General features: G+C 34.5%; 1 protein-coding gene across 4 annotated transcripts in view; it reads left to right on the forward strand.

The window, feature by feature from the left end:
• Positions 1 to 25,990, forward strand: part of COG6 (component of oligomeric golgi complex 6) — a 136,040-nt gene that overhangs the window by 59,395 nt on the left and 50,655 nt on the right. For 3 of the 4 annotated variants that reach the window (NR_026745.1, NM_001145079.2, NM_020751.3), the window contains 5 exons: positions 4,215 to 4,346; positions 4,639 to 4,806; positions 8,312 to 8,419; positions 9,487 to 9,540; positions 12,448 to 12,527. Coding sequence is in view for 3 of the 4 variants with exons in the window: in NM_001145079.2 (NP_001138551.1) it covers positions 4,215 to 4,346; positions 4,639 to 4,806; positions 8,312 to 8,419; positions 9,487 to 9,540; positions 12,448 to 12,527 (542 nt within the window). In the remaining variant the exon portion in view is untranslated. Of the gene's footprint in view, positions 1 to 4,214; positions 4,347 to 4,638; positions 4,807 to 8,311; positions 8,420 to 9,486; positions 9,541 to 12,447; positions 12,528 to 17,022; positions 17,158 to 25,990 lie in introns of all 4 variants that reach the window. The other variant, XM_011535168.2, reaches the window with a different exon arrangement.

Consider the following 25,990-nt stretch of genomic DNA (forward strand, 5'->3'; position numbering starts at 1 on the left):
CAGAGTGATATAATGTACTATGGAGACTCAGAAGGGGGAGAGGATGAGGAGTGAGGGATGAAAAATTACATATTGGGCACGATATACACTACTTGGATGATGGGTGCACTAAAATCTCAGACTTCGCCACAGTACAATCATCCATGTAACTAGAAACCACTTGTACACCAAAAGCTGTTAAAATTTAAAAAAAAATTTTTAAAGATTTATTGCTTCCAAAAGACACTATATACTCCTCTCTCTCTCTCTCTATACACACACACACACACACAAACACACACATACTATATATTATAGTTTATAACCTAGAAGAGAAAATTACACATTAAACATTTAGGTTCTTAATCATACAAGGTTTGTAGTTCTACTAGAGCTGTACTCCTCATCTAGCTTCCCTGGAGGATTTATTAGATTTTTTTTTCTGTTTATGAAAGGTATTGGGAACTGACACATAACGTGTTTGCTCTGGTTTCTATAGCTGTCTATTTCTATATTATAGCTATTAGAATGCTAGCAGATCTTTCTGATTTGTTCTAAGCTAAAGATTCCACTGAAAAAAATTTGAGTATCTTCAGTTTATATTTCTTATGTATATGCATGCACATATATGGAATAGCTTTATATTTAAATTTTTGGAATTATGAGTATGTTGATTTCTATTAAATGTATATTTATTTTTAAAAACAAATGGAAACACAAGAAAATAACACTCATCTACATCCTGTCACCCTGAATTGACTGTTATTAACTGCTTGGTAGTTGGTTGTTTCTTTTAGGGGGCAGAGATCACTCTATTAATTTTGTAAAACTGATATGCATATATTTATACATAATTTAAACCATGGAGAAGAGCACAAAGATGAAAATTTTTAAAAAACCCTCTTCTTGGAAATAACATTAGTTAACTTTATTATAATCAGTTTAACAACAGTCTGGATATCATTTGAAGTAGGAATGATAAATAGAATACTTTTGTGAAGAAAAGATCATATTCTGGAGGTTTTTTTTAAGTTCACATTTATTTGAATCTAATGAAAGAAAAGGAGACAAAACTGAAGAAACTGTGGAACTTGAAATATGTATCTCTTCACCCAAGAAATATTTTCCTTCAATTTTGTAAGTTTTGGCTTTATGTGTTTTGGGGCTTTTTTGTTGGGTGCATATATGTTTATAATTATTTTATTTTCTTGATGGATTGACCCTTTTATCATTATCAGAATCTTTTATTTCTAGTAATTTTGTTTTAAAGTCTGTTTTGTCTGATATTAGTATATTAGTGTAGCTAATTTAATCTAGCTTTCTTTCAGTTATTGTTTGCAACGTATATCTTTTTATATCCTTGTACATCTAATTTATTTTTGTCTTAAAAGTGTGTCTCTTGAAGTTGGCATATAGTTGGTACATGGTGTGGTTTTTCAAATTAATCTGCTAGTCTCTGCTTTTTGATTGTCATGTTTAATCCATTTACACTTAATTTAATTGAGGGTAGAGTAGGATTTATGTCTGCAATTTGCCCTTTTGTTTTCTGTATGTCTTAAGTGATTTTTTTTTCTCTGTGTCCCTGTTACTTCTTTTACACTGAGTAGATACTTTCTAGTCTACTAATTTAATTCCCTTATTTAAACATATATGTATGTGGGTATAGGGTTAGTTATATTTCCTGAGTGGTGCCCTGGGAATTACAATTAGCATCTTAATTTATAACAACATACTTTGAATAGTATACAAAAACTTTGCTCCTACATAGCTCCATTCTCCTCTTCCTTTATGCCGTTATTAATACAGTTAAATCTTATTACATTGTATGCCCATCAACATAGACTTATAATTATTGCCTCATGCAGTTTTCTTTTAAATTAGAGTTATGAACAAAAAATACATTAAAACTGTCTTTTATAGTTATCTTTGTTGGAGTCTTGACCAGTGCTCTATTTCTTTATGTGGATCGAGTTACTTTCTAGTGTCCAGTTTTCCTTAGTATGTCTTGTAGGGCAGGTATGCTAGTGAAGAATTTTTGCCTTTATTTGGAGTGTCTTAATTTCCCCCTTACTCTTGAAGAATAGTTTTGCTGAATTTGAAATACTTGGTTGACAGTTTATTTCAGCCTGTGACTATGTCATCCAATATGCAGACTTCTGGCCTGCATGTTTTCTGGTAAGAAATCAGCTATTGATCTTGTCAAAAATCCTTGTTCATAGTGAGTTATTTCTTTTTAGTTGCTTTCAGGATTATCTGTCTTTTGACAGTTTGATTATGATGTGTGTTACTGTAGGTCTCTTGAGTTTATCTTTCTTGGGGGTCAGTTAGCTTCTTGGATGTTGATTAATGTTTTTTAAAGTCAAAATTGGTAATCTTTCTGTCATTGTTTCTTCACTGCCTTTTTTTCTTTGTTCTTTCCTTCTGGGCTTCCCCTTTATACTTATATTGTTAAATGGTGTCTTATCTCTGATGTTCTGTTCATTTTTTCAATTCTTTTTCTTTCTATTTCTCAGACTCAATAATCTTTAAGTTCCTGTCTTTAAGTTCGCTGATTATTTATTCCACCTGCTCAAATCTGCTGTAAGGCCAAGCACAGCAGTTCACACCTGTAATGATAGCATTTTGGGAGGCTAAGGCAGGAGGATCACTTGAGCCCAGGAGTTTGAGACCAGCCTGGGCAACATAGCAAGACTACCATCTCTACAAAAAAGAAAATTAGCGAGGCTTGGTGGCATGTGCCTGTAGTCCTAGCTGTTAATACTTGGGAAACTGAGGTGGGATGATCACTCGAGCATGCAGTGAGCTGTGATTGCACCACTGCACTTTATCCTGAGTGACAGAGAAAGACCCTGTCAAAAACAAAAAACAAAAACAAAAACAAAACCCTATAGTTAATTTTTCATTTCAGTTGTGTACTTTTTGACTCCAGAATTTCTCTTTGGTTGTATTTTATTATTCCTGTCTCTTTATTGATATTCTTTATTTGGTGAGACATTGTTTTCATACTTTAGTTCTTCAGACATGATTTTCTTCAGTCTTTGAACGTATCTAAAATAGCTTGTTTAAAGTCTTTGTCTAGTAAATCTAACATCTGGACTTCAGAGAATGTTTCTGTTGAGGTGTTTTTCTGTGCATGCTGTGCATGGACTATATTTTCTTGTTTGCTTGCATGTTTTATGATTTTTTTGTTCTTGTTGTTTTTATGAAGGAGAGAGTATTTTTGGACATGCTTACTTTGCTATTCCTGGTGATGTCACTTATGTATTAACTTTCTACATGAAACCATCTTATAATAAATGCCGATATTTGAAAATTCTTACACCTTTCTGCCTACCTGCCACTAAGATGTAGTCTCTTACATTGTCTTCTAAGTGCTATTTTTAAAAAATTTACAAAATGTTACTTTATTAACATTGTAAGTATTCTGAAAATATTTTTAAAGAAATTCATAGGCACTTCTTTTTATGTATCATGGTGCCACCAAATAAGGATAGTGAACTTGGCATACCTTCTACTTAGTAAGTGCAAGGCATGTTACTCAGCCATGCAACAATCTCATTTAATATTTACAGAGTCCCTCTGAAGCTCTGAAAACTTAAGTAACTTGCTGAAGATTACACAACTAGTAAGTGATAGATCCAAGATTTGAACTTAATGTGTTTAACTCTAGAGCCCAATATATTAATGGTAATGTTATACTGTTTCTGTGAAGTGATTTTCAAAATGTGGGACCCATGGGTTACCTTCTTGAGAGACTCCTGGGGTGCTTGTTGAACTGTCAATTCCTGAACCCCTAACCTATACATATTGAACTAAAATCTCTGAAATTTGGGCCTGAGAGTAGGTGACGTTTCTCAATTATATTATAGTTGGAATAGTGCTGGTCTATAGACTGCTTTTTTCTTATGATTTGGGCTAAAAAATAAAACAGTAGGCCATTTTAAATCCATATTAAAATGTAATTCTACAATTCAATTGAACACTAACTTTTCAAATTAATTTTTTGAATTTTAGAGTACAAGGTGACATATTCTGAGATAATCTGACAAAGAACTTTTCTCTCACTTTGTGTGCTGTTAATATAGTTCAAAGTAAGCTATTGATAAATTATAGGTTTCTAATGTGTGAGTCTGTGCTTTATAACTTTTACATTTTTTTTTACTATGAACTTACATTTATACATTAAAATTTAGTGGAAAAAATATAAGGAGTGGGTAAATCATCTCTTGTTTTAGGTTGAACTCCCACCACCTGATCTTGGACCAAGTTCTGCACTAAATCAGACACTCATGTTGCTGCGTGAAGTTTTAGCATCTCACGATTCTTCAGTTGTACCATTAGATGCTCGTCAAGCTGATTTTGTGCAGGTATGTTATAAATTCATTTTTAATGATTGTTTTTTGCTCTTCTATTGTACACTGTGTTTCAATTCTGGAATTTTGTAATTCATATACTTTGACAGTCTCTTTCTTACTGTTAATTTTCCATCAAATATTAAACCAGTTATCATAACTTAAAAAGCATTGATTTATGTTTAATCTTTTCCTACGTGCTTCTATAAATTGGCTTCCTTCCAATTAGTTTGGCATTAAATATCATTAACCCAAGACCCTATCAGTGATTGAGAAATAAAGAGTTCATTTTATTTTTCATTTGTAGGTTTTATCATGTGTCTTGGATCCTCTCCTACAGATGTGTACTGTATCAGCCAGCAATTTAGGCACAGCTGACATGGCCACTTTCATGGTCAATTCACTATATATGATGAAGACAACATTAGCTCTATTTGAATTCACTGACAGACGTCTGGAAATGCTACAGTTTCAGGTAAATTTTTCTATAAAATGACTATTGACTATGATTGAATCTTTTTCTCTATGTGATAGCTTTAAGTTATTGGCTTAACTAGTTTTAATGACCTAATTCCTATAGATCCCTTGATATCATCTGATGAAAGGACACACATGCATATACACAACACACGCACATACACAACACACACACACACACACACACACACACACACAAATTCAGTATTTCAGTTTTCAGCTTTAGAGGAACCAGAATGTGTAATGTTTAAAATACTTGATTCATACCATAATATGTGATAGTAGATTGAAGCTTTCTGATTAATTTGAACAGTTAGTCTGTATGTGGATTTTAGTTTCTGAACTGTGAATAATATGCTATATTTTTCAAGCTGCATAGTTAATGCAAAATGTGTTACAGAGGACAGATATATTTTTATCTATGTGTAAACCAGTGTTAGGCAAAACATTACAAATTGCTATACCAACCACTTGAGTTCTTGAGTCCTATAAAGCAAATGGTTATCACTTAAGAGAGTATATGATGACTAAAACAAAGCCAGTTGTAAAATTTAGTAGATAGTTGGATTCCAGTTTTAAGCAGTGATTATTGGTAAATATACTGTTTTTTAAAAAAACAACTCTGAATGTTCTGTGCTATCACACATATATCAACAGTTTGACAGTGGGTATAGGAATGAGTTTTGATATATCTAAATTCATATTTTCTAATTTTTAATTTTTTCTTTTAAAATAAATGTATCAGAATTTTCCATATTTGTGGTTTAAAGTCAAATAATTCTACAGAACTTGTTACGAAAAGCCACCAGTGTACCATCCTCTCCACCCCCAACATCTCTTTCTCATTTCTCCCTCAAAAGCACAATTTCTTTCAGTTTTTATAGTTGCTTCTTTTGGTATTTATATTTGTAATTCTAAACACTTACGTGTATTGCTACTTATAGATTTTTTTTAGTTTTTTGTCTAATGTATTAAATTAGATATATTCTAATACATTGTGAAATGAAATGAACAATGAAAATTTAGTTATCTACTGCCACTCCCCCAACCCCCCTGGATAAGAATATGGTCATACTTAAGAGTTTTCCCATCCTCCCAATGTAGCTATATTATAAATTTTGGTTAGATCAATGTTTTGTTAAATTATTATTACTATGTAAACATTATTGGTGACTGAGCCATGTAATGAAGAATGGTTAATTTACCTTTCTTGGATAACTTCTTCATTTTCTGTGGAATTAATAACATTTTTATTTAAGAAATGTCACTTTTTTATGTATTTGTCACTAATTCAAGCCCAAATCCCTGCCATTTATCTAAATCTTAAGATGTTAAGATATGTCAGGTGTTTATCAATTTGCTTTATTACCAATTATCTATGTTTCTTATGTGTTCCATAGCTATTTTACGCATGGTAAAAATTCTTCTTGGTCTATGTGCTAAATTAAGCTTATTAGTTTATTCAAGTTATCTATGTCCTTGCTTATTTTTGCCACCATTGGATGTGTCAACTGGACTTTTACATGTGTTTTAACATTCTCCAGAAATCTCTTGAGCCAGATCTTTATTAGTCCTGGCAGCATTTTCAGTAATTGTTCTGTCAGCAGATAATTCAGGTTCCCCTTTCTCCAGACTCCAGTAGCAATTTTCCCAGTGCCCTTTCAGACCCCACTGGCAGTCCCTTGAGTGGGTATTCCAAGTGGACAAATCCCAGTGTGGAAGTGCTTATTGGCCTATTCTTGCATTATGCTTGTCAGAGTGCTGTCAGCCAAGACTGGCCACATAGAACAGCCTGGATTCGGTGTGATAGAGGACAATACAAAGGTGTGGATATGTGAAGGTGTGGTTTATCACGTTTCTCCAAAGTAACAATTTACCTTGTTGGGTAAAGGAGTCTTGATTTTAGGACCTTTACTACCAATAACCTATTATTTTTTTCCCACTCTTATATAGCTTCTTCCAGTGTTTCAAGCAAGAAGTCCAGGCTAGTCAGATTCTCTTGTTTTTAGTAATCTAGTCCCTTCATCTGGTAACTTACAGGGATTTTCCATTGAGTTTATATGTTTTCCCAGGATATTTTTGGTATGTCTCTTTTTAAAAATTATTTGCATCTTGGACTTTGGAGAACCATTTCAATGTAAAGATTCAAACCTTTCTTTTGCTTAGTAAAGAGTTCTATTTCTTTAATCATCACTTTTCTATGTGTTACTTTTTATATTTTGAAGCCCCTGTCCTTGGTTGGTTTTATCTCACGGATCTGCCATCTAATTTCTTTTTAAATCTCTTCACTTTAATCTATTTCTTTGATATTTGCTCTGTATTACTTTCCTTCCATTTTTCTTTCAGACCGCTGATTTGATGCTTTGCAGTAACTCTTTTTCACCTTCATTGAGTGTTTACCTTTGCGCACTTTGTTTTTCTTTGGTTTCTAGTAAATCCAGCAAGTAAGGGCTCTAATTGTACTTCCTTGGGCATTTATTTAAAAAAAAAAAAAATGAAAGTACTTTATGTCTTTCAGTAGTGTTGCCTCAGGAAAGAAACCATACTTGTTCTGATTATTCACAAGGGCTTTCTTTTAGCTTCCTCACCTCTTTTAAATCAGTTCTAAGTTTTTTAGGGGGACGAGCAGAGCTATTGGAGTTGCTTGGAAAATGGCAATCATTTAGATGGTAACAGATACCATAGTTGACAGTGTACTATGTCATTAGCAAGCAAACTGGTAAAATCTGGGGGAACATTCTGGTGAGGAATAGAAGGAAGACCTCTAGACTCAGGATTGTACTGGCACAAAAAAAAAAAAAAAAAGAACAAGATTTTTTCTCACCAGGGAATGTTTCAACCCATCAAGGTAGTTCTCTTCTGTGGTTTTTATCTCCATTAGCATTAGTTGGAATCCCCCAAAATAGCACAAAGCTGGGGAGCCCATACTACTCACATCTGTTAGCTGCATCTTCTTAGGCAGTTCCTGAACCTGAAATCTTTAGTCAAGTTTCTACTGGGCCCTCAGCTCTTCCCTACTTGTCACAGACCTGCCTTATCCTCAGGAGAATTTACTACCTGAGCTGTAGTGGGATTTCCTCTAGGCTTCTCCAGATGGTATATTTGATTTGTTAAGTCAGTCTAGAAAGTTGGGAGCGTGAGGAGGACAGGAGGTCAGGAACATCAGGCCCTTATCTCGGAATTCTTCCTAAATATTTTATTTTATACTGTTGTTGTTTACTAGTGTTTTTTGTTTGTGTTTTGTTTATTAGCAGCTTTTAAAAGGGCTGAGAAGCAACCCAAATTTTGTGACTGGAGGATAGTCCTAGAATCCTCCTTGTTTATAATTTTTAAAGTAAGACTTTTTCCCCCTTTCATAGAAAGACTTACTGTTTGGGGGAAGAAAGAGGCTTTGTTACAGAGGTGATCCCTGTGCCTCATCATCAGTGCCAATGCAAGGCACTGCATCTACTCTCATCAGTGTCATTCTTCTTTTAAAATGTTTTCTTTGTGTTTTATTTTAGATCGAAGCACATTTGGACACACTTATAAATGAGCAAGCCTCTTATGTTTTAACTAGGGTAGGCTTGAGTTACATCTATAACACTGTACAGCAACATAAACCTGAACAGGTAAGTGCATAGATGTTCCTTCCTAATTCTAAGAACATGCCAGTTTAGAGTATGTCTTCTAGAGCTGCACTCTGGATTCTTGGCTCTACCACATATTAGCTGTGTTCTCCTGGGAAAGTGACTTATTTTTCTGTATCTGTTTCCTTACCTGTGGATTGGGGGTAATAATAGTATCTGTGTCATAGGATTGTTCTTAAGACATAATACATGCATAGTTCTTAGATGACTTCCTAAAATATGGTAGAGTGCCCCACAGTATTAACAATCCTTTTTATTAAAAATAGTTTTTGTTAAAAGTAATGAAAATATACAAAAATTAGTATTATAAAATGTCTAAAGAATATTCATACTGGTAAGTTTTTCAGATTCCTATATCACTATTAGTTAATTGAATGCATAGATTACTGTATAAATAGCAGTCATCTTCTTTTTAATTTAGCAAATTGTTGCCCATTACTTTGAGAAGGTAGTCACTTCTGGGGCCAGCATATGATCTTATTAAATTATAGAACCCTAGTAGAAATAAAGGAGTGGTGGGAACCTTAGAAAACCATGTAAGCCATCTTTCTTAAGAAAGCAAAGAACTCATTCAAACAGCATTAACATGAAGACTGTGTTATGGCCCAGAAACTCTTAAATGAAGCTCTTAAAACACAACTTTTCAATTCTTTCTTTGCTGAAGTGGTAAGCAAATTTCTACCAGTAGGAACCAATTTTACTGCCTTTCTGTACTTTCTAAAAGTATCAAAGTGAAACTGTTCAAGCCTCCATGTGTCACTGGCATCTTCCAGTGCTTCATTGCCTTCATTTTCTTGGGTATGCGTAAACTTGAAGTATCATGATATTTCTGTTGTTAATAAACTTGAGCACGTCTTGCTCTCTCCAACAAATCATAGTCCCTGATCTTATTGAGGTTGAAGAAATTACACTTGAGTTCTTTGGAAATAAGCTAAATGATTTTCCAAATTTGGGCAGTGCACTAATGAACTATATTCAGTAAGTGAAATGAAATGTATATCTCCTTTTTTACATCTTGGATCTGCTTTTTTTTTTTTTTTTTTAAATAGGGCTCTTTAGCTAATATGCCCAACCTAGATTCTGTGACACTGAAGGCTGCAATGGTAAGTGTATAATAAAACATTTTAATTTAGATTTCCTTATGGATCGATAGTCTTCATTTTTTGCTGTGTGATAATTTCATTCTGGGTGACACTTTTTATCTCTTGACATGCTGTATTAACGTTGGGTCCAATAATAATGACTGAGCCTGTATTACTTTAATTGAACAGTTCTGGCCAAGTCTTACATTCATAGTAGTGTTCCACTATGCTCTGATAGTCTCATCATTACTGTTTAGGATTACTGTTTACTCTATTTTTAGAGTTTTGTTCCTAATTTAAGTGAGAAACAGGAATGACAGATATGAAGAAATTAGGCTGTATATCATTATAAACTTATTACTACCTTGATCCTTCGTTTAAAGTTCCTGACGTGAAAATCGAAATTAGATTCCACTCTTAAAACAGTTTATTACTCTTTAGTTTGAGACTCACTGAATTTCCACTTTATTACCTTCCTTCTTTTCAGGTGAAGATCTTGTACCTTCCTTTTTGCATGATCACTACTTTTTGTAGTGTGTTTCTGTGTCTTAAATACATATACTTTCCTCATATGTATAGTGTTCATATGCATAGCCATTCATTGTATGATATTTAAGTCATATAGCTCTATCCCTCATAGGAATGATCCCTTTTGGAAGTTTTATGATAGTACTACTAGTAATAGTAATAATAATATGGAAGAACAACAGCCATTAACATTAGCATAGCAAGTGTTTTCCCTGTATTAACTCTTTAATCCTCATGACAACCCCATTCAATCCAGGAAGTTGGCCTACAGAGCTTGTGGGTTTAACTACTGTACTAAACTAGTGATCCTAAGTATTTAAAATACTCACGTATACTCACTACCACAATGGCCTGACTTTCATAGATAGTCCTGTAGGAAGGTTTTTAAATTTTCCAACAATTTTTGATGCCAAGGCTTTCCTATATATTATCTTCCAGAACTCAGTTTAACTGAAAACAAAAGGATAGGCTCATAAGATACCTAACAAATGCAAAGAAGAAGGTGGAGCTATCTATATGATTATTAGATAAAGTAGAATTTAAAAAGACTAAATGAGACAAATAAGAAACATTATGTCGTGATAAAAGACACTATATAGAAGCAACAGTTATAACTTCTATATATGAAACAAAAACATAGTAGCAAAAATTAGAAATGCAAAGAAAATTCGATATTAAAAAGTTTAAATAAAAATAGATGAAAATGAATTTTAGATTCATTAAAAGATATGTTTTTAGAAAGTTATATATACACTTACCATACTATCCAGTACAATTCCACTTCAAGATATTTACCCCCCAAAAATGAAGATCTATGCTCACACTTAGATCTGTAACATTAGTTAGTACCAAATATATGTTCCCTTCCTCTGTTTCTCCTTCTCTCTTGACACATATCCAGTCTGTAATACAACTCATAAAATATTTGAAATGCCATTAAAAATTCTTCATGTTCCTGGTGTTAATTTTCAGAACAATTAAGGTGAATATGAATATACGATGTCTCTGGAGAAACAAATCTTGCTTGAGTTTTGTATTTAATACGTGATTATATACAACCATTTGTTGTCTCCATTTAGGGGTTTCTAAGGCACTTCAATTCAGCATGTCCAAAACTAACTCTGCACATTCCACCCTAAACCTAAGTCCTCTTCCAGGCATTATTAACTCAGAAAATTGTAAGACCTTCTATCCATTTATCATTTAAATAGTTATTAACCGAGTTTCTGCTATTTTCTAGGCATCATGCTAAGAATTGGGATGAAAACAGATATGATCTAGTAAGGGATGCAGCTACTACACAAATAAATGAATGAAGAGTACAGTTATGTGTTATGATAATATGGTGAATTAATTCATACATATCCAAAATCTGGGAGTCCATCCCTTCATTCTATCAGTAACCAAGTCCTGATGGTCCTCAAATATCTTTACGTCTTTCACCTTGATTGCCCCTATAGTCTAAAAATGCTGCAGTAGGTACCTAAGGTACCTAATTGGTGTCTTTGTATCTATTATTGCAATCTTCCATTCTGTCTTCCTATGGCCAGATTTAGCTTCTTAAAACTTAAATCAGATTTCTCCCTTACTTAAATTCAATGGTTTACTAATGCTTTTGAAATAATTAAAATCCTTAAATAAGCATGCCAGTCCTACATGATCTCTACTTATATGTTTTCCTTCCCACCTCAAGTCTTCATGCTGTCTCCTCTCCCTGAACCTCCCCACCCATCAATCCACTTACTTAATGTATATTCATCTTTAAGATTTCACTTCAAATGTCCTTTCCTGAGAGATGCTTTTGCCGAATCCACAGACTAGGTCCTTGATTTATGCTTTATAGTACCTTGTTTTATTCCTTAATAGCATTTAACAAAATTTGTAATTATATATTTATTTATATTATTATCTGTTTAACACCTCTCTTGCTAGGCCATAAGCTCTGTGAAGCTAGGGACTATCCTTTTTTTGCTCATTTTTATACTTCCATTACTTAATATAGTACCTTTTCAATGGTAGGTATTAGTTGAACTAATGAATGCATTAATGAACAAATGAACAAATATAGTAAAATCAAGAAACAGGTAGACCTGAAACCTGATGACTTTACTTCTTGTTAATATTATTACTTAAAAGCTTTGTGAGGAAGACTAAAATGAATGGTTTGGATTCAGGATTTTGAAAGTAAGTATTGCTAATATTGACTATATTACAGATTTGACAGTTTTAGGGAGTTTTAGTTAGAATGTTTAGAAAATACACAATTTGAACACAACAATCTAGTTATTTAGAGTATGGAATTTTTCTCAAGGATTTAATTCTTAAAAGAGATGTTTATATTTGAGTTGTTTGTTAGCACATATATGTACTTTATATTTTGTATTTCTCTGTTTCATTTAGGTTCAGTTTGATCGTTATCTGTCAGCCCCAGACAACCTATTGATACCACAGCTGAACTTTCTTCTAAGTGCCACAGTGAAGTAAGTATTTTTGGTCCCAAGTAGTTGGTAAAGATTCACATATTTTTAAATATCAAGTACATTTTTTTGGAAAAAAATTTATTTTCAAGAATAAATGATTTACCATTGAAAATCTATAGTTCTCAACCTTTCTTCTGCCTTGGCATGCCAAAGGATGAGATCTGAACATGTCTGTACTTATTCCATGTCTATATGTCACTCCAAAATCTCTAATTAGTACATGATTGTTAAAATTACTTTGAATATAATTGAAGCTATATAGCTGTAATACCAAATTCCCTTACGTTAACAAACATGTCAGAATAATGTTGAATATGTTATGGAAAATCAATAATATATTCATTATGCAATGCAGATGAACTGATTTATAGACTATTTTGAATCTAAGGTAGTGTTCTGTAGATATAAAATTACTCAATATCATTTATCAGGAATGTATTCAGGACACCAAATCATACATTAAAATATTAGAATATAACAATTAGAAGAAGCGGAGAGATTATATGATCTTTCTTGATTTTAAGAAAAATATTGGCAAAATTGTCTATAGGTAAGAAATTAGGCAACATTATCTACACATTTTTTTTTCTTTCTATTCAAACAGCAGTGCAGTAAGTGTTTTCTACATAACAGGCACTAGGAGTTAAGGCTTAAAAGACATTTGCACTGTTTTCACGGAGCTTATAACCTAATAGGTCAGTTAAACATGCGAACAAATATTTACATTGAAATGTACAGTAAGGAAAGAACTATTGAACAAAACATTTCAGATATCTAAAAGAATGTAATGTTATAGAGGTGATATACTTATTTTCTGTTCTTGAGTATAGAACTACAGCAGAAAATAGAGCAAAGAAGCAGCTTTTTAACTCACCATGCAGAATTTGGTATCAATTAGAATTGGCTGGAAATCTATGGACCACTTTTTTTTTTTTTCTCAGACACAGAGTTAGGAAAGTTCCATTTTAGGTGAGTGACTAGAGTAAATGAATTTAATTTTTTTTTGTGACCTTTATATTGTATTATTCTAAAAGATATTATACTATTTACATAACCAGAATTCTAAAGACTTAAGAGATTACCAAAGAAACTGTTATGCTGTGACTCAGGTTGTTTGTAGGTGCTTCTTTTTTTTTTTTGAGACGGCGTCTTGCTCTTTCTCCCAGGCTAGAGTGCAGTGATCTTGGCTCAGTGCAATCTCTGCCTCCCAGGTTCAAGCGATTCTCCTGCCTCAGCCTCCTGAGTAACTGGGAGTACAGGCGCCCACCTCCACACCTGGCTAATTTTTGTATTTTTAGTAGAGATGGGGTGTCACCATATTGGCCAGGCTGTTCTTGAACTCCTGACCTCGTGATCCACCTGCCTCGGCCTCCCAAAGTGCTGGGATTACAGGTGTGAGCCACTGCGCCCGGCCAATGTGCTTCTTAAATTATTAAATTTTTAACTGAATACCTGTAATTCTTTTTAACTTAACTGTGTCTCAGTACGTAATATTAGAATGTTGTTAGCCATGTCACTACATGTGAAATATACTGTTATTCTTTTCATAATATAATGATTGAAGAGAGATTTTAATGTACTTTAAAAGATGACATGTAGCTCAGATGCTGTGAAGCAGGGGTCCCCAACCCCGGGCCAGGGACCCTGGTCTGTGGCCTGTTGGGAGCACAAACCCTACTGTGAACTGCGCCTGGAAGGATCTAGGTTATGTGCTCCTTATGAGATGGAACAGTTTCATCCCAAAACCATCCCCCAACTTCTTGTCCACGGAAAAATTGTCTTCCACAAAACCAGTCCCTGCTGCCAAAACCACTGGGAGCTGCTGCTGTAAAGGAAACAGATGGACAGATTTGGCTCTGTAACATTTTAAGGTTTTTACAGAAAAAGATAATATAAACTAAGTTGAAATATAAACAATAATATGGAAAAATGTTTGCAAAATATGTAACAGATAAATTATTCTTAATATATTATCCTTAATATATAGTAAGATCCTATAAATTCATACAAATTGTAGAAAAACAGGCACTGAATATTTGAACAACTCACAGAAGTAATGGAAATGGCAAGTAAATATATGAGGAAATAGTAATTATCAAAAAATGCAAACTGAAACAACGAGAACTTCTGTCTATCAGACTGCTGACAATAAAACATTTATTACATACTAATGGAACAGGTCTGAGAAAGTGGGCATTTTCACACTTTTTTGAATGAGAGTATAAATTAGTACAATCTTTTCAAAGAGCAGTTTGGCAACATTCCACAAAATTTCAAAATTATACATTCTTAGGCTCTTCTAAAATTTTATTTTTCTTTCTTAGTCTTGGTAATAGTTTAAAAAAACTGTTGAACCAGCAGTGGGATTGAGTATTGTGTATGGATCTATTCGAGTCGTTTGCCTCAGAAACTTGTCAGATTTCCTAAGCTTAAATCATTTTTGAAATTAAATGTTTGTCTTCCATTATTGAAGACAATATTTTAGTTTCTCCTTTACTTTTATTGTCCTGTTGTCTAACGGTAACAATGTAAACTTTGTTATTTTATTATCAGACAAATGAACAAGTTTTGGTACTTTTTTTTAAATGTGAATTTTTAATTTAGTTTTTAAAATTATTTTATGATATGTGCCTAACATCCTATTATGAATTCTTACTATTTATAATGACATTTAAAATTGAGATATGCATATTATTTATATAAGTATTAATACTACAAACAAGAGTTTGAAATTTCTTAGTACCTATTTACCTCTGTTTTCATTCAGAAATATTTTTAAATGTTATATGCAAAGTATTGGAAAATTAAATGTGATCTGCAACATAATTTTCAATATTTGTTTAGACGAACAGAAATTATGGTATAAATTTAGCTACTTATTTTCAAATCAGGATTGCTTTGAAAATATAGGGCATTTTACATATTTAAGATTTAACGTCAGGCCGGGCGTGGTGGTTCACTGAATGCCTGTAATCCCAGCACTTTGGGAGGTCGAGGCAGGCAGATCATGAGGTCAGGAGTTCAAGACCAGCCTTGCCAATATGGTGAAACCCTGTCTCTACTGAAAATACAAAAATTAGCTTGGTGTGGTGGTGTGTGCCTGTATTCCCAGCTACTTAGGAGGCTGAGGCAGGAGAATCGCTTGAACCCGGGAGGTGGAGGTTGCAGTGAGCCGCAGTCGCACCACTGCCCTCCAGCCTGGGCGACAGAGCAAGACTCCATCTCAAAAAAAAAAAAAAAAAAAAAAAAAAGATTTAACATTAAAGGAGATTTTCTTATTTTTATTTTTTTGAGACAGAGTCTGGCATTGTCACCCAGGCTGGAGTGCAGTGGCATAATCTCAGCTCACTACAGCCTCCATCTCCTGGGTTCAAGTGATTCTCCTGCCTTAGCTTCCTGAGTAGTTGGGACTACAGGTGCATGCCACCACTCCTGGCTGATTTTTGTATTTTTAGTAGAGATGGGGGCCTCACCATGTTGGCCAGGCTGGTCTCGAACTCCTGACCTCAAATTATACACCTGCCTTGACCTCCCAAAGTGCTGGGGTGACAGGCTTGATAGCACTCCCGGCCTAAAGCAAATTTTTAAATTGCGCTCCTACTATCTGTTTTTGGTTTTTTCCTGTTCTCTTCTCCTGAACTTTATCTATCTTCATAGTTGCAATACCTTTGGGACACCTATAACCTGTGTCTCCCTTTTTCTTGTCTTGTCTTAGTTTGACTGACTTTCAAAGGAGATTTTGATTTAGCACTTCAGCCTTGGAATAAGCTATTGAATACATTTAAGTAGCTAGGAAACAAGGTGGTATAGGAAATAGGGAAAAGAATAGAGAAAGAAAATGGTTTTAAAGAATTCTTCCCTTTGGAGTGAATTTGAAGCTTCTTGTTCTATTTTCAATGCAAAATCTCCAATATTCACCTTATAGCAATACAAAAATAGAGTTTGGACTACAGAAACCACAGTTGTGCATATATAAAATGTTCTCAATAAATCTTTGCTTATTGAGTCACAGTTACTTCCATAATAACTTAAGAAATAAAGAGAATGCAGATGCTTCCTAAAGTGAGCATATGGGAAAATGGGTAAGTTTTGATAACTCTTTTATTCAAGGTTTTTCCTCCATTATAGAAATAATATGCTAGAAATAAAGCATGTACCTATAATGGAGTAATTTTTTTGAGAGAAATTGAACACTTTTTTTTCTTTTAACTACCTTCTTTTATTCACTTGTACTATCAGGAATATCCATATAGACAAAAATAAAGCAAGTTTGGGGTAAAATTAAAAAAAAATACTACCAGGAAGAGAACTACTGGACAGCTGTGAACTGAATGCTTTAGAGACCTCAGAAAGTCCAAACCTTAAAAGCAGGATTAATCTCCAAAGGCTGGAGAACCTGGAATTCTTATGTCAAAGGAAGGAAAAGAAAGAGTATCTTAGCTGCAGGAGAGAAAAAGAGCAATTTGCTGTTCTTCTGCCTTTTTGTTCCATTCAGGCCTTCAGCTGATTGGATGGAGCCCGCCCCATTGACGGTGAATCTTCTTCACTCAGTCTTCCAACTTACATGCCAATCTCCTGTGGAAACACCCTCACAGACACACCCGGAAATTATGCTTTATCAACTAACTAGGTATCCCTTATCCAGTCAAGTTAACCCTTAAGATTAACTATCAGAGCTAATTTAGATTCATACTAATTAAGCTTAAAATCAAGCCTCTAAATTATCAACTTGATCTGTAATTAAATTAACTGCCTTCCGGAACAAAACATACATACTTAAAGATGACAGTTACAGACAATCAACAGTGTAACATCTATAATGCTAAGCATGTGATAAAATGCTATTGCAGTGAGGAAGCAGGAAAATATGAGCCAAACCTAGAGAAAAAAATCAGTCAGTAAAAACATACTTACAAATGCTAAAGTTTACAGAATTAACAGATAAGGTGTTTTAAAAAGCTGTTAAAAATATGTTCAAGAATTTAAAGGAAAACATGACCCTTAGAGAATAGGGGATTTTACAAAATTAGAATTCTAGAATTCAGAGATGCAGTATATAAAATGAAAAATTCACTGGATTGTCTTATAGGCCAGTTGAACACTCCAGAGGGAAAGATCAGTTAACTTGAAGAGAGGACAATAGAAACTGAAGCACAGATAGAAAAAAAATTAAAAGGCTGGAAAATAGATGGAGTCTTAGAGAATTGTGAGATAATACTAAGCAGTCTAACCTGTATAATTAGATATCATAGTGTAATTGAAGCAGAAAAATTTGAATAAAAGGGGAATTTTTTCTAAATGTTATGGCAAATAGGAACCCTCAGACCCAAGAAATTAAATACCAAAGTATACCATAATCAAATTATTGAAAACCAGTGATAAAGAGAAAAATTTTTAAAGACATTTGCAGGGAACAGTGGCATTACTGACTTCTTGTTAGAAACAGCGCAGACCAGAACACAGTAGAATATCATCACCTTTGAAAAGCTAAGTATAAAAACGTCAACTTTAAATGATCGATCAAAAAAAAAAGTGTCTTTCAAACTGAAAGTGAAATAAATGTTTTGAAATAAACGAAAGTAGAGAAGGTTTATCCCCAGCATAATGCACTGTAAGAAATGGGTACAAAAAGAAAGAATTCTTTTTTTTTTTTTTTTTTGGAGACGGAGTCTTGCTGTGTCACCCAGGCTGGAGTGGAGCGGCGCGATCTTGGCTCACTGCAACCTCTGCGTCCTGGGTGCAAGCCACTCTTCTGCCTCGGCCTCCTGAGTAGGTGGGAATATGGACACCTGCCAATGTGCCCGGCTAATTTTTGTAGTTTTAGTAGAGACGGGGTTTCACCATGTTGGCCCGGCTGATCTCAAACTCCTGACCTTGTGATCTGCCCACCTCGTCCTCCCAAAGTGCTGGGATTACAGGTGTGAGCCACTGTGCCCGGCCAAAAAGGAAGAATTCTTTAAAATCATTTTCTATGCTTTTCTCTATTATTTTGAGAATTTTTACATCATTGCTCATCAGGGATATTGGCCTGTATTTTTGTTGTACTGTTTTTTTTTTTCTTAATCTGTCTTTGGTTTTGGTATCAGGGTTAAATACTGGCCTCATAGAATGAACGTGGAAGTATTCCCTTCTCATCTATTTCTTGGAATAGTTTGAGTAGAATTAGCATTAGTTCTTCCTTAATTATTTGGTAAAATTCAGAAGTGAAGCCATCAGTTCCTGGCTTTTTCTTTGCTGAGACACTTTTTATTATGGCTTTGATCTCATTACTTGTTATTGGACTCTTCAGGTTTTGAATTTCTTCATGGTTCAGTCTTGGCAGATTGCATGTGTCTAGGAATTTATTCATTTCTTCTAAGCTTATAGTTGCTCATAGTAGCCTATAATGAGCCTTTGAATTTCTGGGGTATTGGCTGTGATGTCTCCTTTTTCATCTCTGATTTTATTTATTTGGATCTTCTGGTTCTTAGTCTAGCTAAAGGTTTGTCAATTTTGTCTATCTTTTCAAAAAATCACCTTTTGTTTCATCACTCTTTTGTACTTTTGTTTCAATTTCATATATTTCTGCTCTGATCTTTATTTTCTTCTACTAATTTTGGGTTTGGTTTCTTCTTGCTTTTCTAGTTCTTTAAAATGTATCATTAGGTTGTTTATTTGAAGCTTTTCTACTTTTTTTTGTAGGCACTTACAGCTACAAAGTTTCCTTTTAGTACTGCTTTTGCTGTATCCCATTGGTTTTGGTATGTTGTTTCCATTTTCAGTTGTTTCAATAAATTTTTTAATTTCCTTCTTAATTTCTTCATTAGCCCACTGGTTATTCAGGAACATATTGTTAAATTTCCATGTGTTTGTATACTTTCCAAAATTATTATTGTTATTGATTTTTAGTTTTATTCCATTGTGGTCAGAGAAGATACTTGATATAATTTCATTTTTAAAAAAATTTTATGGACTTTTATTGTGTCCTAACATATGGTCTGTCCTTGAGAATGATCTATGTGCTGCAGAGAAAATGTTTATTCTGCAGCCATTGGATGAAATACTCTACAAATATTGATTAGGTGCATTTGGTCTGTAGTGCAGATTAAGTCCAATATTTCTTTTTTAATTTTCTCTCTGGGAAGTCTGTCCAGTGCTCAAAGTAGAGGGTTGAAGCCTCCAGCTATTATTGTTTTGGAGTCTGTCTCTCTCATTATCTCTAATAATGCTTGCTTTGTATATCTGGGTGCTCCAATGTTGGGTGCATGTATATTTACAATTGTTATATCCTCTTGCTGAATTTACCCCTTTATCATTATATACTGAACTTGTTTGTCTCTTTTTATGTTTGCCTTCAAATCTATTTTTTCTGATATAAATAAGTATAGCTACTCCTATTTTTTTGTTTGTTTCCACTGGCATGGAGTATCTTTTTCTATCTCTCTTTTTTTCAGTCTATGTCTGCTTTTGTAGATGAAGTATTTTTTTTGTAGGCAACAGATTTTTGGGTCTTGTTTTTTTAATCCATTCAACCACTCTGTGACTTTTTGTTGGAGACCATAGTCCATTTACATTGTGTTATTACTGATAAGGACTTACTCTGCCATTTAAAAACTTGCTTTCTTGTTGTTCTGTGATTTTCACTTCCTTCTTTCCTTCCTTCTTGTCTCTTTTTTAGTGAAGGTGATTTTCTCTGGTGGTATATTTTAAATTTCTTTTTATTTTTTGTATATCTGTTGTATGTTTTTTGACTTGAGGTTACCATGAAGCTTCCAAATAATATCTTATACTGCATTATTTTAAACTGACAACAACTTAACATTGATTGTGTAAACAAACAAGCCAAGAGAAAACTAATAAAAACTCTTTACCCTTTAACTTCATTGCCCTGCTAATATTTGTTTTTTCTACTTATATCTTATTATACTGTCTGTCACTTGAAATGTTACTGTAGTTATTTTTGCTAGGTTCATCTTTTTATTCTGTCTACTCAAGATATGAGTAGTTTACACACCATGGTTACAGTTTACAACATTCTGTGTTTTTCTGTGTACCTAGTATTACCAGTGTGTTTAGTTCCTTCAGATGATTTCTTATTGCTCATTAATGTCCTTTTCTTTCAGATTGAAGAACTCTCTTTAGCATTTCTTGTAGGACAGATGTGGTGTTGATGAAGTCCTTTTTTTTTTTTTTTTTTTGGTCTGGGAAAGCCTTTATTTGTCCTTCATGTTTATAAGATCTTTTCACTGGATATGGTATTCTAGGATAAAAGTTTTTTTTTCCTTCAGCACTTTAAATGTGTCATGCCACTCTCTCCTGTCCTGTAAGGTTTCCACTGAAAAGTCTGCTGCCAGAATTATTGGAGCTCCTTTGTAGGTTGTTTCTTTTCTCTTGCTGCTTTTACGTTCTTTTTCTTTGGCCTTTGGGAGTTTGATTATTAAAGGTCTTGAGGTAGCCTTATTTGGATTACATCTGCTTAGTGGTCTGTAACCTTCTTCTACTTGAATATTGATATCTTTCTCTAGGTTCGGAAAGTTCTCTGTTATCCCGTCAAATAAACTTTCTACACTAATCTCTCTCTGCCTCCTCTTTAAGGCCAACAACTCTTGGATTTGCTCCTTGGAGGCTATTTTCTAGATCTTGTATGTGTGCTTCATTTTTTTTTTTATTCCTTTTTCTTTTGTCTCCTCTTACTGTGTATTTTCAAATATCCTGTCTTCAAGCTCAGTAGTTCTTTCTTCTGTTTGATTAGTTCTGCAGCTAAGAGACTCTGATGCATTCTTTAGCATGTCACTTGTATTTTTCAGCTTCGGACTTTCTGCCTGATTCTTTTTGACTATTTCAAGCTCTTTGTTAAAGTTACCTGATAAGGTTCTGAATTTTGGCCAGGCGCAGTGTCTCACGCCTGTAATCCCAACACTTTGGGAGGCCGAGACACTTGGATTACCTGAGGTCAGGAGTTCAAGACCAGCCTAACCAACATGGAGAAACCCTGTCTCTATAAAAATACAAAATTAGCCAGGCATAGTGGTGCATGCCTGTAATCCCAGCTACTCAGGAGACTGAGGCAGGAGAATCGCTTGAACCTGGGAGGCGGAGGTTACGGTGAGCCGAGATCGTGCCATTGCACTCCAGCTTGGGCAAGAAGAGCAAAACTCCATTTCAAAAAAACAAAAAACAAGATTCTGAATTTCTTCTTTGTGTTATCTTGAATTTCTTTGCACTTCCTCGGCACAACTATTTTGATTTCTCTGTCTGAAAGGTCACATATGTCTGTCACTCTAGGGTTGGTCACTGGTGCCTTGTTTAATTTGTTTGGGGAAGTCATGTTTTCCTGGATGGTCTTGATGCTTGTAGATGTTCATCAGTGTCTGGGCATCGAAGAGGTGGGTGTTATAGTCTTCATAGTCTGGGCCTTGTACCTGTCCTTCTTATGAAGGCTTTCCAAGTATTCAAGGGGACTTGTGAATTAAGTCTTTGGTCACTGCAGCCATATCTACATTAGGGAACACCTCAAGCCCTGTGGCTCTTGCAGACTCAATGAGGGTACTACATTGGTGGTGTTGGGTGAGATCCAGGAGAACTTCCTGGATTACCAGGTGTAGACTCTTGTTCTCTTCCCTTACTTTCCCCCAGGCAAATAGAGTCTCCCTCTCTGTACTGAGCTGCCTCGGAGCTGGGGGAGTGGTGATACATGCCTCTTCGTGGCACCACCACTGGTACTGCGCTGGGTGAGATCCAAAGCAAGCATAGCATTGGGTCTTGCCCAAGGCCCACAGGGATCACTGCATGACTACTGCCTATGTTCCCTCAAGGTCCAAGGGCTCTGCAGTCCGCAAGTGATGAATCAGTGAGGCTTGTGTCCTTCCCTTCAGGGCAGTGAGTTTCCCTTGTCTCCGAGTGGGTCCAGAGAAGCTGTCTGGGATGCAGGGCCTGGAGTCAGGAACCTTAGGAATCTATTATATGTGGTGTTCTGTTCTGAGGTGGCTGAGCTGGCATCCAAGATACAGAACAAAGTCCTTCCCATGCTTCTGTCTCAAGCAGAAGGAAGGAGTCTTACCCGGAGCTACAAGCTGCATCACCTGGGGTTGCGGGAGGAGTGATGCAAGTACTCCCGTGGCTGCCCTAGCTGGTGTCTCACTAGGTCACGTGCACCCCAAGTCCACTGGCTCTAAGCCCAGCACAGCACAGAAGCTTGCCCAGGAATTAGAGCCCTTATGGCCCAAAACTTGCCCTTCAGTTTATTTCAGATCCCAGAGCACCTTATCCCATGGTGGTGGGGCTTGCCAGAACTCTGGTTCTGACCGCTGGGATGGAGGCTTCCCTTCTGACTAGTGCTGGTCTAAATGCTCCCTCTGTGGATGCTGGCTGAGTTCTGCCTGGTGTTGCTTTCTGCTGTGACAGGGCAGCACTAAATTCCAGTGCTACGTCCCACAATCACTCTTTTTTCTCCCTTCCACAAGCACATAAATTCTCTCTCCGCGCCATGCTGCCAGTGCCAGGGATTAGGGGAAGGATGGTGTAGGCAATTCAAGACTATCTTTCTTATCCTCTTTAGTGCCTCTTTCCTTAATATGATGTTAAAACCAAGTACTATGATTGCTCACCTAATTTTTGGTTCTTAGGAAGGTGATTTTTTGTGTGGATAGATTTGGCGTTCCTGCTTGGGGGACGATCTCTGGAGGCTTCTATTTGCTCATCTTTCTCCTAATTGTGGAATTTTAAACACATAAAACATACGACAACAAAAGTGCAAAAGATGCAGTGGGAGGGAAGTGGAAGTTTGGTGTTTTAATATTGTAAGGATATTAAGTTATCCATGAAATATATAATATTGATTGGAGGTAGACTGTAAACCTTCCCACAACCATTGAAACAAATAAAGTTATTTAGCATACCAATAGATAAGAACAAATAGAATTTTTAAAAAGTAATTGTATCAAAAGAAGGTGAAAAAGGAGGGTAAAAGAACAAATGAGACAAGTATGAAACAAGTAGCAGGAAGATAGACTTAATTGCAGCCTAATAAGTAACTGTACTAAATGTGAAAGTACTACAGATTTGAACTAAAAGACAAAATTGTTAGACTGGATGAAAAAGCATGGTACAACTATCTGCTATCTATAAAAAGTCCATTTTAAATATAAAGGTGGAGATAGTTTAAAAGGATGACAAAAGATATACCATGCAAGCACTAATCCTAAAGCTGGAGTAGCTATATTACTATAAGAAAAATTAGACTACAGACAGATAATAATACCAGAGATAAAACGTGACATTTTATAATAGGATTAATACATGAAGTAAATATAGTAGTATATCTGTGCATTTAATAGCAGAGCTGCAAATAACATGAAATATAAGCTTACAGGATTGATGAGGAGTAGCTGTATCAAGAAATACAGTTAGATATTTCTGCATAGTCCTCTCAGTAATTGATACAAAAAAATAGGAAATTAACATGATGCTTCATAGTTGAACAGTACTACCAATCTTTACCTAATAGAAATATTTAAAATACTACACACAAACTATAGAAAATACACATTGTTTTTAAGTACGGATAAAACATTCATGAAACTAATGTAAGAATGAGCAAAAAAGGAAATAAGAAATCCTAAGTAGATGAACGTAAGAACTCAAACTAGATGATTCTAGTTCTAGAAAGTTCCTAGCAAGAACTAGAAAAGTCATAGCAAGTTTTTCTTTATAAATTCCAAGCTAAATCAGTTTTTACAATGAATGTGGATAACTTAAGCTACCCTATTTTAACATACAAGAGTGTCAGTTTAGATTTCAAAAAAAAGCAAACCGCAGTTCACCTATATGCCCTTTACAAGAGACCATTTACAACAAAGTGGCATACAAAGAAAGAAAGAGTTGCAATATTAACAGGCAAAATTGAATTCAGGGTGTAAGTCAATAAAAGGTCAAAGGGAAATGTTTTATATTGATAAAAGTCATGCTTAAGTAGGTCTTAGGTAAAAATCCTGAAAGATATAAAAAATCATTTAAAAAAATCAAACATTCCATTGCATCAAGAGAGGAAACACTATAGCCAAAGCATACAAAGAAAAATCTTACTTGAATTTACTACATAAACCAGTTAGAGAAGAGTACCATGACACTATGTTGGAATATTGAAAATCTACAGCAAACATAATACTTAATGATGAAACATTAGAAACCTTTTCATTACAGTTCAAAACAATATATGCATAGTTACTGTCACATCTGTTTACCTTGGAGCTTCTAGCCATTGTAATGAATTGAGTCATAAATATTGAAAAGAATTAATAAAACTTATTAATTTTAAATGTCTGTACCAAAAACAAAAAAGGCAAGCAATTAACAAACTAATAGAACTAAAATAGAGTTGTTACTTGGCCAGATTCAAAATTAACATACTAAAATTAGTACCTCTTCTGTATACCAGAAATATCTAATTATAACAATGAAAAGTAAAAGACTTTATTATAATAGTCACAGGATTGTTTCCTAGAAATAAATTTGATAATATACGTGGAAAATTATATAATGAAACTTATAAAAATTTATTGAAAATTCTAAAAGATCTGACTAAATAGGCATACTCTGTTCATAGACTGAAAAATTCACTAGTGTAACAGGTTAATCTGTAAATAACTCCAACTTTAATCAAAATTCTCATGGAATCATTTCATTAAATATGTATCTAAGAAGTATATGAGAGAGGACTCATACTTCTGAACATCTCCATAATTAGCACTCTGGCCCAAGGTGGCATCATCTGTGCCTGGTTTATCACATTAACCTCTGAACTTTTCCATTTTCACACTTGCCCTCTCCACCACCATCCACCCAAGCCCTGCAGCCTAAACTGAACACTCAGAGTGATCCTTTAATAGATTACTTAGTTCAATTCTTTCGATGAATTTAAAAGAGGATATTGTTTAGAAAGACTAAGTAATTGAATCAAGGTCAAAAAATTTGTAAGAAGTAGAGCCATGATTTGTATCCAACATTTCTGATTCTAGACCCTATTCTCTTCAACACTAGACTATACTGTATTTTATTAGCTCTTTCTGTGTTGAGATTATTTTATTATTTTTAAAGAATGCTCGTAGACGTCTGGCATATATGATGATAGATGACACTTATCTGAAATATGTAGCTTGGCCTCATAAAAAATATGCTTTAATTTCATTTATAGACACATAGCTGACCTAGGATGAAAAATTGTCTTGACCCATTGTGACATTTCTTATATTTATATGGTAATGAAGAAAAATCAAAATTTTAACTAATCTGTTTTTCATAAGGATATTATCGTCTTTTCTTCTTGGGCTTTTAGGCTTAACGCCTTTTTTTCTCCTGTGGCACATTTGATTGCACTCTTAACTGCGGTGCTAAAATAAAACTCAATTTTAGTGATCACAGAATCTGATGTTGAAATAGTCTATTTCTGGAAATGCTGGGTTTATGGTAATGATGAAAGTTGTATC

The sequence above is a fragment of the Homo sapiens genome, chromosome 13 (assembly GCF_000001405.40).
Source record: "Homo sapiens chromosome 13, GRCh38.p14 Primary Assembly".
Lineage (NCBI taxonomy): Eukaryota > Metazoa > Chordata > Mammalia > Primates > Hominidae > Homo > Homo sapiens.